The sequence below is a fragment of the Homo sapiens genome, chromosome 4, assembly GCF_000001405.40.
Source record: "Homo sapiens chromosome 4, GRCh38.p14 Primary Assembly".
Taxonomy (NCBI): domain Eukaryota; kingdom Metazoa; phylum Chordata; class Mammalia; order Primates; family Hominidae; genus Homo; species Homo sapiens.
In genome coordinates this window covers 71,587,074-71,601,740 of record NC_000004.12, presented here as the reverse complement: position 1 = coordinate 71,601,740, position 14,667 = coordinate 71,587,074, and the positions used below count along the sequence as shown (strand labels likewise).

The 14,667-nt window shown below is 36.2% G+C and overlaps 1 long non-coding RNA gene across 1 annotated transcript, besides 1 other annotated feature; it reads right to left on the bottom strand.

Moving 5' to 3' along the window:
• Positions 1-2,970: 2,970 nt before the first annotated feature.
• On the bottom strand, positions 2,971-8,226 carry LOC107986285 (uncharacterized). Its single transcript, XR_001741716.2, has 4 exons — positions 8,046-8,226; positions 5,963-5,997; positions 3,309-3,353; positions 2,971-3,055 (listed from the first exon to the last, which is right to left on the bottom strand). It is a non-coding gene; the product is annotated as an uncharacterized LOC107986285 (long non-coding RNA).
• Positions 7,977-8,686: an enhancer, noted in NCBI's record as "OCT4-NANOG-H3K27ac-H3K4me1 hESC enhancer chr4:72458772-72459481 (GRCh37/hg19 assembly coordinates)". NCBI's record gives its function as "activates a minimal SCP1, AML or CMV promoter by ChIP-STARR-seq in primed H9 embryonic stem cells {active_cell/tissue: H9 hESC(primed)}" and the evidence as "EXISTENCE:reporter gene assay evidence [ECO:0000049][PMID:30033119]".

Sequence of the window (14,667 nt, the reverse complement as noted above, 5' to 3'; positions counted from 1 at the left end):
TATTCCCTGGTACATTCCTGACATCTTGGCATGGTTCACACATGCATATATAATCTGGACCTCAAAAGATTTAACAGCCATGGGACAAGCCTTCATTAATGGGGAATAGAAGTCAGTAGGTAATTCTTCAATTCTTCTCCTCCTTGGTCTTTCCAAGAGACAATTCTGAGTGGCAATTCACATGGCTTTTCAGAGGGTTCCAGTAAGACTGAGCCCCAGTTGTCCGTAAGAGTGATAAGAGAAACTGTACTGCGAAAAAATATTTTAATTATTTTCCTGTAACCCACAGTTAAATTTCAGCATAGAGTGACCATTGAAATATACTGAAGAGCCAGTCACCATTAACAGCATATGCAGAAATTTTATCCAAAACCCATGGGAGGCCGGGATGGACATACAAACATTCACAAGCAACTGAGTTACTGTGGCTTGACATCAACATAGCACTCATTGGTCACATTTTTCAGGATGCCAGTCTTAAATTCTCCAGAAAATCACAATATCTACCTTCTAAGAAAATAAGAAATAATATTTCAAAGGAATCCTTCAGGCAAGTTTCAGTATATTGCCTAAAACTGTTTTAATTTAAAAAAAAAAACTGTTTCTACCTCTGTAAAGTCCACAAGAACAGAGTACTTTGAAATTCTATAATACATAGAGATAGGGAAGTGACTTCAGCAGAAATGATACATTGTAACACCAGAGAGTACTAGTTATTACCAGTATCCATGCTAGAGGCATCTTATGGAAATATATAAAAAATACATTTTTGCTCTAACCTTACTCTAGTGAAGGAAAGCATCAAAAAGCCATTATCTATTATGGTATCCACTCATATTTTTAAAAACAAATAGTGTTAGATGGGCTGAGATGATCCTGTGGATTAAACACTCTGGCAAACTATGTATGAACCAATTGCCACCAGCAGAAGACTTTTGACTTTTGAGATGTTTAAGACAGAAATTGTAACACATTTCCCCAGGCCATTTTTTTTGTTCTTAAGTTACTATTTTACATAAAGAGTAAGTCATCTCAATTTTATGATGTTAGAGGACAATGCTTAGAGCATTTCAGTGTATTTACTTATGATTAATGAACTTAAACTGAATTTTTCATCTAATCCTATATAGCCAACTCTTTGTAATTCAATTCTCCCCACCCCAAATTATGAAACATGTTCTATTATAGCGATAACTATTTCAGACAGAGCAGACGCTTCCCTCAGTTGCAGGATTTGTAATATGAATGCACATGCATTTCGCAGCAAACATATCTTCTAAACACTTAAACCAGAAAGTGCCCTCAGTATCTCAGTATTTCAGCAAACTGATATTAAGTTAGTTCAGAAGTAAAACAACAAAGGCCATTTAAACAGATTTTCATGGAAAGCAACTTAGTTAAGTATTAAATAATCTTTACTATTTGCACATTTTTCTTGAGAGTAAGTGTTCTTAACAGAATTCATAGAAGATTTTCAGCATGTTGTGAACTCTCTGAAATGTCATAAAGAATTTGTGTGTATTGATTTATAGTTTCCTCTAGGGAGAGGACTCTTAACTTTCAGTAGCTTCTTAAAGCATCCATGACAAGCAAAAACAGCACAAAACAAACTTTGATTTCTTCAAAGCCAGTTCTTTTTCTTCCATTCCATGATTTAAACTATGGATCTTCTCCATCTGTTTTCAGATAAGGTCAAACATGATTTTTTCCTTACAGTTGTACAATTTATTATTTAAGACTTTTATTAGGAAACAGCCTGATATTCTTTTTTCCAAAAGAGAGACAAACAAAACTTTAGTGAAAAGAGTAATAGTTGAATGGAATTGTGTTAAAGGAAGTGAAAAAGGCCAAGTTTGAAGTCACTTCAGAGATATTTTGTGTCCACACTGGAGTCGCAGAGAAAGCTACAAAACTTATCGATTAATAATGTGTAACTTTCACAGTACTAAATCACAAAAGAATGTCAAGTCAGGTAAGTCATTAGGAAAGCACCTTTGTTAAGTCAACGTTTCCCTCAAATAGTAAAAGTTAATATTAACATGCTTTCCTAGAAAAATGCTCATTTCCCTATCATAAATCATACAACAAAGCAGGCATTTTGAACTATCTTTTAAAATCTCTATATTAAAAAAAAAGACAGAATGCATAGTAAAAGGCATGTAGCAAATTTTGTAAAATGATGATATTCTGCACCTTCGCCCCAAACACACTAATCCCAAGTACAGCTGCTCTTTCTCCATTAGTTAATGTAAGTTTAGAATGTGATCGCCTTATATGTGGCATTTTATTAAAGAAATTTCAAACCTGCAAGAGTAGCTCAGTTTTCAGAATTAATACAAAACCAAAGAACCCTTTATTCAATAGAAGTTTTATCAAACATTTTCAAGAAAAAATCAAATTTTTTCACTACTTTTCAGTTTTAACTTCAATATATATGGCAACAGGAGTGATATTTTTGTTTGTTTATTCTTAAGTCACTGAAATTAAACAATTATTACACCATTATATCCCAAATGCATTCATTGAACAAATCATCATAATGCCTACTATGTGTGAGACACTGCACTAAGTAAGTAATGGTGCCTAAGAGCATGTAGTGGTGATAAAGAACAGGCATGATTCCTTAACTGTAACGTGGACAAAACAGATGGTAAATGAGGAAATCATTTTATCTTGGAAAAACATGAATAGTGATAGGAAATCTTAGTAACTATAAGTCAGATATCATAAAGCAAACTGTGATAATAACAGCAACATTCTGTATGCTTATTAAGTGCGAGACATTATACTAAGAGACTGAAAGGTCTTATTGTCCCTAAACTTTGTAGAAACCCTGTGAAGTGGGTATATTTGTTGTAAGACACTGGGTCACAAGTGACAGAAATGCAACTCACAAAACCCAGTAATAAGAATGTAGTTGAAATCCAGAAACCACTAGCATCGAGTTCTAGAGGAAATGCTGTCAAGTTCCTTACTGTGTCTGTCGCCTCTCTTCTTCTTTTCAAGTCTCCCTTATTTTTCTTTTTTTGTCTGTAGGTGAATTTCCTCCAGTTCTCTGTGTATATGACAGGAAACAAGACCATTAATAACTCTCAAGTTTTACATCTTAAATTTTTAACACCTATCAAAAGGCTATGCTTTCTGAGTTGCAATTCTAATATTCCTGGAAAAGAACCACAATTGGCCAAAGTTAACTCAGACATCCAGCATCAGACCAACAGTGTTCATGGGTGGATTCTGTTACATCAAGGAAATAAGATCTTGAAGTGCCAGTCTTTCTGATTTTACTTTCTTTCATACGCTCTTACCTTTTCTCCAGTAAGTCAGAGGAACACAGAAGCATTACCATTTTTCTACAAGAGAAGTGAAAAGAAAAAATACATTTACATTATTGGTTTGGTTTAGTTGTTGGTTATTTGGTTGGTTGGTTGGTTGGGTTTGTTGTTGTTGTTGTTGTTGTTTCTAATGTTTTCTAACCAGTCTCTTGAGACTCAAAAGAAAATCCCTGAAGGGAGTGGGACAAAGAGATCACATAACAAAAATTTAAAATTGAAAAAGGGAAGGCAATAACCTCAACTCCTATACCTGGAAGGAAAATTGTTGAAGGTTATCTGCACTGAGAGAGAAGAAAGGAAATGAAGGGGCCAAAACCTCAGAAGAGGGCGGAATCCTCAGACCTAAAGCATCACAGGGGAGTTAGGGACAAAAGGGAAGAGTTACCATGAAAATATGGCCAATCATCACTAAGTGGCCAGCACTAGGGAGCAGAGTGGAAGCTAGGATAATAAACCGTCCTTACTTTGGCAGAATAAACCATTCAGTGGCTGTCGTCATCGTTGGGCGGATAACAGCTGCCACCATCAGTGGCCTCCACTGATGATAGTGAACTGTCCAGCATATTAGTATCTGTCTATGCCTCAAGACTTTGCAGAACCTCCATGGGAACTGTCATTATCATTAGGCAGGACACTCATAAGTGCCCCCAAATAGAGCATAGGACATTTGACCCTCCACAGACAGCAGTGGTAGGAAAGGGAAAGCCCCAGTACAGGTAAATGGGTAGACTGGAGAGTGGAAAACTCACTCTTTTTTTTTTTTTTTTTTTTTTACCACCTTGGCAATTTCCAGGGTAGCCATGTGGATGACAGGTTAGAGGAAGGAAGATTCCAGGAAAAATTGCTGTCATGGCTTGTAGGGCAGACGCAAAAAAATAGGAACACTCTAAAATGCAAATATTGTCATTTGACATGCAACAATTAATTTTTATAAAGTTAAATACTTTCCCAAGATCACACAGTCAGGAAAAGCTGAGCCAAAATGCAGATGTAAACCCAGCCAATGCTCTGAACCATGAGGTGACAGCAGCTCAATAACTAGATCCTTGTGGCAGCTTCTTTCATAAACAAAAATGTACATGAGGCATTCATGAAAATTTTTAGAATGATAAATCTAACTAATTGTGTAGCAAATCTAACTGATTCTGGCAGTAAATCTATTTTGGGCTACTATAACAGAATACCTGAGACTGGGTAATTTATAAAACACAGAGACTTATTTATTATTATTCTGGAGGCTGAGGAGTCCAGGATCCAGCGGCCCCCATCTGGTGAGGGCTTAGTGCTTTATCATCTCATGGTGGAAGGTGGAAGGGCTGTTTTCGTCTTTGCCTTTTGAAATAAAATGTAGTTATTATCGCTATCCATCATTGCTCTAGATCAGTATGTCTCAAACTCAGATTGGGGCACCTGAGATTATGTTTTGTAAAGATTTTATACATGCATGTCTTTATTTTGATGAAAAATCTATTTATATATAGAGAGAGATAAAGACAGAGAGAGAGAGCCATTTGGCCCACTAAATCACCAACTTTTAAGGGACAATAGGACAATGGGGCTTCAAAAGTCATACAAAGCATGTGATCTTAGTCAATCCATACACATTAAAAAAAAAACTTTTGGCCTGCCGCAGTGGCCGAGCACTTTGGGAGGCTGAGGCAGGCGGATCACGAGGTCAGGAGATCGAGACCATCCTGGCTAACACAGTGAAACCCTGTCTCTACTAAAAATACAAAAAATTAGCCAGGTGTGGTGGTACGCGCCTGTGGTCCCAGCTACTCAGGAGGCTGAGGCGGGAGAACCACTTGAACCCGGGAGGTGGAGGTTGCAGTTAGCCAAGATTGCACCACTACACTCCAGCCTGGTGACAGAGCAAGACTCCAGTCCAAAAAAAAAAACTTTTAAAATATTAAATAAAATTCATGGTAATTGCTATAAAAATCTTCAAATATAAATCATGATTCTTCTAAGTCATCATTCTAATATTAATCTCTTGTTTGACTATGGCATATATGTACTAAGTGCAAGTCAGAGAAACTGAATTCAAGTTAACTTAAGCAACTAATGGAAATTTTGGCTCATGTAGCTGTAAAAGATATTTAAAATGTGCTCACTTGCTTGCTCTCTCCCCTCGCCCTTCCCTTTCTCTCTCTCCAACCATCTCTCATGTCTTCCACTGTCTGCAGGGCCTCCTTCTCTTCTACACCATGCATGGATAAAAAGGCCCAACAAGCTCTGAAGTTGTGATATCACGGCTCATTATTCAAGCACAAAGAAGGAAATTCTTTCAGCTTTCAAATATTAAATTTGTTATAAAGCCTTTAATCCAAACTGGGTCACATGTCCACTTTTGGACCAATACCTGAGGCAAAGGGATTGGGCACAGGATTGTTCGTGTCTCTTTCCTGTGTCTGGCATTCTGTCTCAAGTACTGCAAATGTCAACCCCACAAGAGTCACATGTTTGCTAGGGAATATGAGTAGTGATGGGCCAGTTCCAGCTTGCTGGAGTTGACTGTATCTTTTGTCCAACTCCAGATGGTGGAAATATTTACACAACAGAAAAAAAGCATATGCTACAGACCAGGGATGTTTTATTTTCCTGAGAGTAGGTTGTTCAATACTTACCAGAAGCTACTGGATAGGAGCATTTCTCCCTAGGGCTAGAGTCGGGAAGACAAAAGGGTGTTGAATAGAGATATCAGTATGCTACTACAAGACCCATTTGTTCTCTATAAGTGCAACTAACAAGTAATATTTCTAAAACTAGGAGATTTATCAATGTTTACAGTGGTTTTTCATGAACAGAATGCTGAGATAATGAGGTCTTTTAAAGGTTTTTCCTGTTTTCAGACTACACAAAGCAGAGTTTTGAGATTGTTTTTTACATAGCATCTATTCACCTCATTAGTGTTCAAACACAGAAAAATAATGTTCCCAGAAAATAATATGCTCTCAAAAAGGAAAAAAGTTATATATATTCAGATAATTTTGTAAAAACATTACCTGTATACCATGGTATCTCACTTGAAAATAGTCATTATTAGTCTTTCCATGGGTCATTTATGGAATGATAACATTTTTGGATTTTTTTTTTTTTTTTTGCCAAGAAAAGCATCATGTCCTGATACATGCAACCCATGGTGAATAAGGATATATTTTGAAAAATTCCTTTAAAACTCTTTCAAATATCCACATGCTATACAAAAGAATTCCTTTTACAAATATTATTTGAACATCATCTATATACAAGTCCCAGTTTCATCTTAATGCAAGACTGAAAGTAAACAAACTCCAAAGATTCTCTTTCAGTGCTGATTTTTCTAAGATTTGTTGATAGTTCTTCATACAATGGCTTGTGATCATGGATTAGGCTGTTTAATTGAGCCTATTTTTTTAATAGTCATATAATGCACAGTGTCTACTGTTTTTGTTTCAAAGGACTTTTATTTTACAGAGAGAAGCTTCCCTTTGTCAAATTTATATGTAATTTCACTTCTTGCACAACTATTAATAGTTATGAAATAGCTTATATTAACAGAGCAAACAGGTATTGAACATTTACTAACTTGCTAGGTATTGTGCTAAGCACTTTACTTTCATCATATTACTTAATCCATAGAACAGCCCTTTAAGACAGGAAAACTTATCCCCATTTAATATAGGAGGGCATTGAGAAATAAAGAAGATAAATAGCTTTATCAAGGTCACATAACAATTGGATAGCATTTCCAGGATTCAAAGCCTAGGGTGACACCAATATCCATACACCCAACTGCCTATATGTACTAGCTGCAATGTCAGGCACTAAGGTGCTCTCACATATGTTTCCCATTCAATTCCAATGCATAAAGTCTCTGTTATTCTTCTCCATTACAGAAGATATTACCAAGGCTCAAAAAATTTAAGAAATATGTCTAAATTTCCAAAGCAACAGATAATAACTGCCAGAGATGAAAGTCAAATGCAAGCCTGACTGACTCCTTGAGCAGGGCTTTTTCTACTACACTATGCACCTGTTAACAGAGTCAAATTATTCAAATGTGTTATAAGTTTAGTTATTTAAAAATTTCAAGGGACTAGCCTTAAATTATTAATATAATTGTGTTTGGCTATATTAAAATATGGCATTTGCTCAGATTGTTAATTCAATTACATTTGGGTGTAACAATAGAGAGTATGCACTACAGTTAATCACAGATGGCCAGCAATTTGTGGGAAGATGTCAGGGGAGACATCTATATGATAGAAGTTGTAATTTAACACCAGACAGTATAAATAGAAAGAGTTGAATAAACAAATCCAGGTGGCAGTGTGCCAACCAGTCAGAACTTAGGGAAAATAGATAAAACAAGGCAGGCAGGATCTAGAATCATTCATATACTTTAATCACAATAGTTAAGAACAGACCAAGCTGAGTTAAGGATCTGTCAAAGTCACACTAAACAATCTCAACCCATAGTCACCCCAGCCCTAGTACCAACTCCTTATTGTAACAGCCCCATAGTGAGAAAACCACATGCAAATGAAATAAACATTTATTAGAGACAGAGTCAGAAATATCTATTCCTTCCACTTTGAGGTAAGTGAGATCTAAGCCGGATTTAGGGGGTGGTTTGCCATGGAGAACAAGAATGATATCATAAAGATAAAGGATATGACAAGTATAAGAGTTACCTAAAACCTCTGCATCAAAGGGAGGGAAACAGACCTTCTGAGTCCTGCCAAGTTGTTGCTTCCCAAGCTGACTTCAATGGTGGAAAATATGAGTAATAAATCATGTAGATGTCCTTATTGTCTTGCCACACATAATCATTGATGCTTGGAAGGAAACCCTACAAGTCAGAAACAATGGGCTGGGATGAATACTTGGAAAGGTATACCATCTTCCTCTTAGCAGAATCAACATCACAAAGATGTCAATTCTCAACTTGCTTTGAAAAGCAAATACAGCACTCTCCTTTAAGTTTGGAGATACAAAGAGAGCCAACAACTTGGTCACTTTTAAGCACCTCTAGTTCTGGAAATTACAGAGGAAACTTAAAGAAAATTCTCTAGCAGAACAAAGGTAATTGATCAGTAGAGTCCCTGAACATAGGTTGGGAAGAAGCTTAACTAACAGTAAATCTCATTTCTCACTAGAAATTTTACAATCAAAGAGAGGGTATGGTAGTTTGGCTTCAGCTGGGGGAGGAGGTTGTTGTTGGGAAAGTGTTTGAGGAGGTGGGCAAAGAGGGAGCCTCTAATAATGGCAACAGGCTTAGAAATAGACCATGAAAATTTCAAGATCTACATTTAGATGTCATGTATACTAGCAGACTTGTGGGCTAAGAAACCTGGAACTTGTGCTTGCTTTTTGGAATAATAAGCAAAGCTGGGAAGCTTTCCCAGACTCCTAAGCTAGAAGAGAGATAAGGTAATAGCTCTTCCTGCATTTTTGCAGTCAAATTTATCTTCTCCCACTAGATTGCGAGCCCCTCACTAATAAAAGGTCTCCTAACACAGCAGGAGCTAAACAAATATTTATTGGTAGGAACTATTGAAATATACTAGTTTACTTGTCTTGCCCTAACTAATCTTAAAATTGCCCACTTCAGAAAAGAAATGACATGCCTCTATAGAGCTCTACGCAGACATTCCCTTCCGCTTTAGACCCAAACTAGTTTAAAATCTGATCATCTTAGTTTTTAAATATTTTTTTTTCTTGGGAAATTGTTGCCTGTTTGAGATACCCAGTTTGTTTCTGTCGCATTTTTCTTGCCTCTAACTCTGGATGGGTGGTCAGAGTCCTATAGTGTGGACACCATTCCACACAAGATATATGGGATCGGCATGGTCCAACGTGCCCTTGGACAGAAACATGAAGTCATTGAATTGTGACTTTGCCTTCTTCCTATGTCATCTATCTGTGGTCCTGATCAAGAAAACATTTTGTACATTTTCTTGTTATCATGACACTCATGTGAGTCTGTTGGGATCATACTTTAAATTCATTTATCTATTTCCTAATATCCCTGTTGAGGGTGCTGTGAGACTAGTCTACAGGTCAGCATGACTACCTCCATGAATGAGGGAGGGAGCAACGGACTCATATAAATAAGAAGAGAGAACATGAAAGTAGGTTACAGCACAGGTACCCATGCCTGAAGCTATGTTTTTTTGCCAGAATAGGATCTTGAGGGAGATAGGAGAGCCATCTAATTGAAAGATAACAGATAAAATGGAAACTGATAATAGGTTAATGACCTTATAGTGCATTCTGTGTGAGAAGGCAGCAGAGGTCACACTTCATCTGAGTCTCTGCTCATATGCTCCCCAACAAAGAAGCCTTCTCTGACCATGTTACTAAAACAATACACCTCCCCTTGCCAATCTCAGGTTCCTTACCCTGTTTTTTGTAGATATCTCACATGGATTATTGAATAAGGGCCAGACTCTGACTCCACGCTGTTTGGATTGAATCACAGCTTCATGATGATCACTCTGATGATCACTCTGATCTTATGACAAGCTATTCTAGGAAGCAGTAAGATTGGAATTTATAATAATTAATCTTAGCATCCAATCATAAATATGTGTAATTAGTCTGACTGTATAATTCTGAAACACAGCCCATTCTTAAAACCTCCTATGAGTAAGAAGAGACATGGGAAGAGTGAACTGGCTATATATACATTTAACAATTCACTTATTTAGCAAATATTTATCAAGTGTCTACCATGTGCAAGACATCCCTGGGCTCCTTGAAAGTTGTTCAAGAAGGGATGCAGACTTCTCTCAGCCACTCTTGTGGGAAGAAGTAGAAGGGGACTGTGAAGTTCTAACTTCTGAGTTAAGGTTTAAAGCCTCTATCTAATCACAGAACTTTCCTAACTCTAAAAATAGGAATAGTGCCTTGCTGATCATCTTGATTTTTTCTTTCTTAATAAGCTGTCTACTTCCTGAATGCACATGTGTGCGCACACACACACACACACACACACATCCACAATCTTTATTCCTGAATAACCTGGATTCTATAGTCAGAAGGAGAAAAACATTAGCAACCTACAATGTTAATAGTTCCAATTAGTAAAATTAATGGATTTGGATACTTCTCTAATTTTGCCTTAATTTGTTCTACATGTAAGTTATAAAGATGGAAAAAATGCACTCAACTAAGAGATCACAAGCAGATGTGAGACAGGGAGATAAGCAGGACTCTTCTTCTCCTGGGATTGCGATAATGTTTCTCCATGTTTTCTACAGATATGAAGAGAAGTGGGTCAACAGTGTGGAAAGGGAATTTTCTCTCAGTTTAGATATTCTATATGTGAATCATGCCTTTGCAGGCCTTTCTCTGTGGTTTGATGTGGTATCTCAGATCATGTTGGCATAATATTTGTAAAATTAAAGAGTGGTTAATTTACCATATTATTTTCACTGAGCATGAAAGTATTACAGACCCCCAAACAAATACATTATTTCTAAAACATTAAAAGAAACACATTCTGAGGCAGTTTCCATTACAAATAATCGTGGACTTCTATTAATGTAACACAGACCAAAATTCACTGTAGACTATAAATAACATCTAGAACTTGATTGCTATAGTTTAAAAACATGAGGAAATTTCCTGAGCAGTGATGTTAGCAAGATGGCAGAATAAAGCATCCCAGCCCTTGTCCTCCATACAAATAACAATTTAGCAACTATCCACAGACAAAAGTACCTATGCGGGAGTTTGTAGACGCAGGTAGGAGCTTGTAACACCCCAATGAACCCAACACTGAGAAGAGGTGCTTTGAGAAAGCAGGCCTGTACTCCAGTAGTGGGTCTATCATTACAGACCCTACTACAGATCTGAAAACAGATCTAGTAAGAGGAATCAAAAGATAAAAGAGTGAAGTAAATCTACAAGTCTTATAGGACACTGTCAATCAAACTAATGTATGTATTATGAAAATCCAAAAAGGAGAAAAGAGAAAGACTGTGACAGAAAGTGTATTTAAATAAATAATGGTTTAAAATGGCCCAAATCTAAAGAGAAAAAATGGACATTCAAATTCATTCTCCTGTGAAAGTGGCTTCAGCTCTGCTTATTTGTGGCCACAGAGGAAGGCTCTTTCTGGGAAGGGGCCTGGCAAGAACCATATTCACCTATGCCCCTAGTAACTGGCTTGCTGACAGTAGACCCAGCTGCAGATACAGAAACAACCCCATGACCTAACTTTATCCCCACTTGACCACAGTTCAGAGGTAGTCCTGTCTATCTGGGGACCCTTCAGTAAAAGATCTGAACAAGTCAATAAATTCTGGAAGAAGTGACTGCTCCTTCAGATGCACAAACACAAACATGAGGCTACAAGGATCACAAAGAATCAGGCTACCATAATACCACCAAAGGAAATTAATAAAGCTCCAGTAACCAACCGTAAATCAATGTAGATCTATAAACTGCTTGGCAGAGAATTCAAAATAATCATTTCAAAGAAGCTCAATGAACCACAAGATTACATAGGCAGACAATTCAATGAAATCAGGAAAGCAAGACATGAACAAAATGAGAAGTTCATTAAGAGATACAAACCAGGTGGGGTGCGGTGGCTCACGCCTGTAATCCCAGCACTTTGGGAGGCTGAGGCGGACAGATCACGAGGTCAGGAGATCAAGACCATCCTGGCTAACATGGAGAAACCCTGTTTCTACTAAAAATACAAAAAAAAAAAAATTAGCTGGGCATGGTGGCGGGCGCCTGTCCAGCTACTCGGGAGGCTGAGGCAGGAGAATGGCGTGAACCCGGGAGGCAGAGCTTGCAGTGAGCAGAGATCACGCCACTGCACTCCAGCTTGGGTGACAGAGCGAGACTCCGTCTCAAAAAAAAAAAAAAAAAAAAAAAAGAAAGAAATACAAACCATAAAAAAGAAAGAAACTGAAATCTTGAGGATAAAGATTACAATGACTGAATTGAAAAACTCAATAGAGAATCTCAATAGCAGACTCAGTCAAGCAGAAGAAAGGATCAGCAAAATCGAAGACAGGTTATTTGAAATTATCCAGTTAGAGAAATCCAAAGAAGAAAGAGTGAAGTAAGCCTACAAGTCTCATGGGACACTATCAACCAAACTAATGTATACATTACAAAAATCCAAAAAGGAGAAGAGAGAAAGACTGTGACAGAATGTGTATTTAAGGAAATAATGCTTTTAAAATGGCCCAAATCTAAAGAGAGAAAATGGACATTCAAATTCATGAAGCCTAAAGACACCTAGATAGGTGGAACCCAAAAAGGTTTACAGTGAGACATACTGTAATTAAATTGTCAAAAGTAAAAAATAAGAGAGAGAGAGAGATAATTTTTAAAGTAGAAAGAGAAAATCAGCTTATCACACATGAGGGAAGTGTCCTAAGGCTATAAGTGAATTACACAACAGAAACCTTGCAAGCTAGGAGAGGGTAAGCTGATACTCAAAATACTAAAAGAATAAACTGCTAATTAACAATACTTTACCCACCACATATATCCTTTAGAAATGAGGGAGAGATAAAGACATTCTCAAACAAAAACTATAGGAATCCATCATGACTAGACAGGCCTTATAACAAGTGCTAGAGGAAACACTTCAAGTTAGAATAAAAATATGCTAAACAGCAACACAGAAACATATGAAAGTACAAATCTTACTCTTAAAGGTAAATATAAAGACAAACACAGAATACTGTAATGCTGTAATGGTGGCATGTAAGTCATGTTTAACACTAGTATTTAAATTACAAAAACAAAAGTAGGTATAATAACTATAACCACAGAAAATTTTTAATAGAACACCATATAAAAAGAAGTAAAATCTAACATGAATTATATAACAGGGAGGAGGAAGTACAGAGTTCCTGTATGAGATTGATATTAAGTTATCAGCTTAAAATCGACAGTTACAACTATAAAATGTTTGATAGAAGTCCATGGTAACCACAAAAAAATATAGTAGATACATCAAAGATAAAGAGAAAAGAACCAAAGCACATTACTATTTAAAAACATTAATCAAAACACAAAGAAAGGAACTAAGAGAAGAGAGGAACAAGAGAAGTACAAAAAAACACAGAAAAAATTTAACAAAATGGCTTACAAATCAATAATTACTTTAAATGTAAATAAACTAAACTCCCCAGTATTCCAAGCAATTGGTAGCTAAAAGAAAGTGGGAGTGGCTACACTTCTATCAGACAAAATGGACTGTTGGTTAAACAATGTCACAAGAGACAAAGTACAGCATTACTTAATAATAAAAGTCAATTCAAAAGGAAGATAGAACAGTTATAAATATGTACGCATCCAACATCAAAACACCTAATATATAAAGCAAACATTGGCATATATGAAGGGAGAAATAGATAGCAATACAATAATAGTAGGAGGCTTCAATACCCAACTATTTATAATGGATAAACCATTCAGACTGGAAATTAATAAGGAAATAGCAGAACTGAAAGAACTGAACTATACTATAGACCAAATGGACCCAACAAGCATATACAGTACATTCCACTAAACAGCAGCAGAACACTCACTTTTCTTAAACGCACATTCTCCAGGCTCAGTTACATGCTAGGTCACAAACAAATCTCAACAACTTTAAGAAGATCAAAATTATTCCAAGTATATTTGCAATAACAATGGAGTGAAACCAAAATCAATAATTTAAAAATGGGAAAATTCACAAATATATGGAAATTAATAAATACACTCTTAAACAACTCTTGGGTCAAAAAAGAACTCAAAAAGAAAATTATAAAATAACTCAAGACAAACAAAAATGACACAACATACCAAAATTTACAGAATACAGCCAAAGTAGTACTATGAAGGAAATTTATAATGATAAATACCTACATTGAAAAAGAAAATAGATGTTGAATAAATGACCTAACTTTGACCTCAGGGAACTAGAAAAAGAACAAGAAGCTAAACCTAAAATTAACAAAAGGAAAGAAATAAGATCAGATCAGAAATAAATGAAATAGAAAATAGAGAAAAATTCTAAAAATTGAAAAAAAATTGAGTTGGTTTTTTGAAAAGACAGCAAACTCAGCAAACCCTTAGGTAGACTAAGAAGAAAAAGAGAGACGATTCAAATAAATAAAATCATAAACGACAGAGGAGGTATTATAATCGAGCCCATATAAATACAAATGATCTTAAGGGGCTATAATGAATAATTGTACACCACCAGATTAGACAACCTAAAGAAAAGTGGAGAAATTCCTAGAAACATACTATATTAGGGTTTTCCACACACACAGACACACACACACACACCACAGCAATTAATATTAATTGCTTACTTGCCATG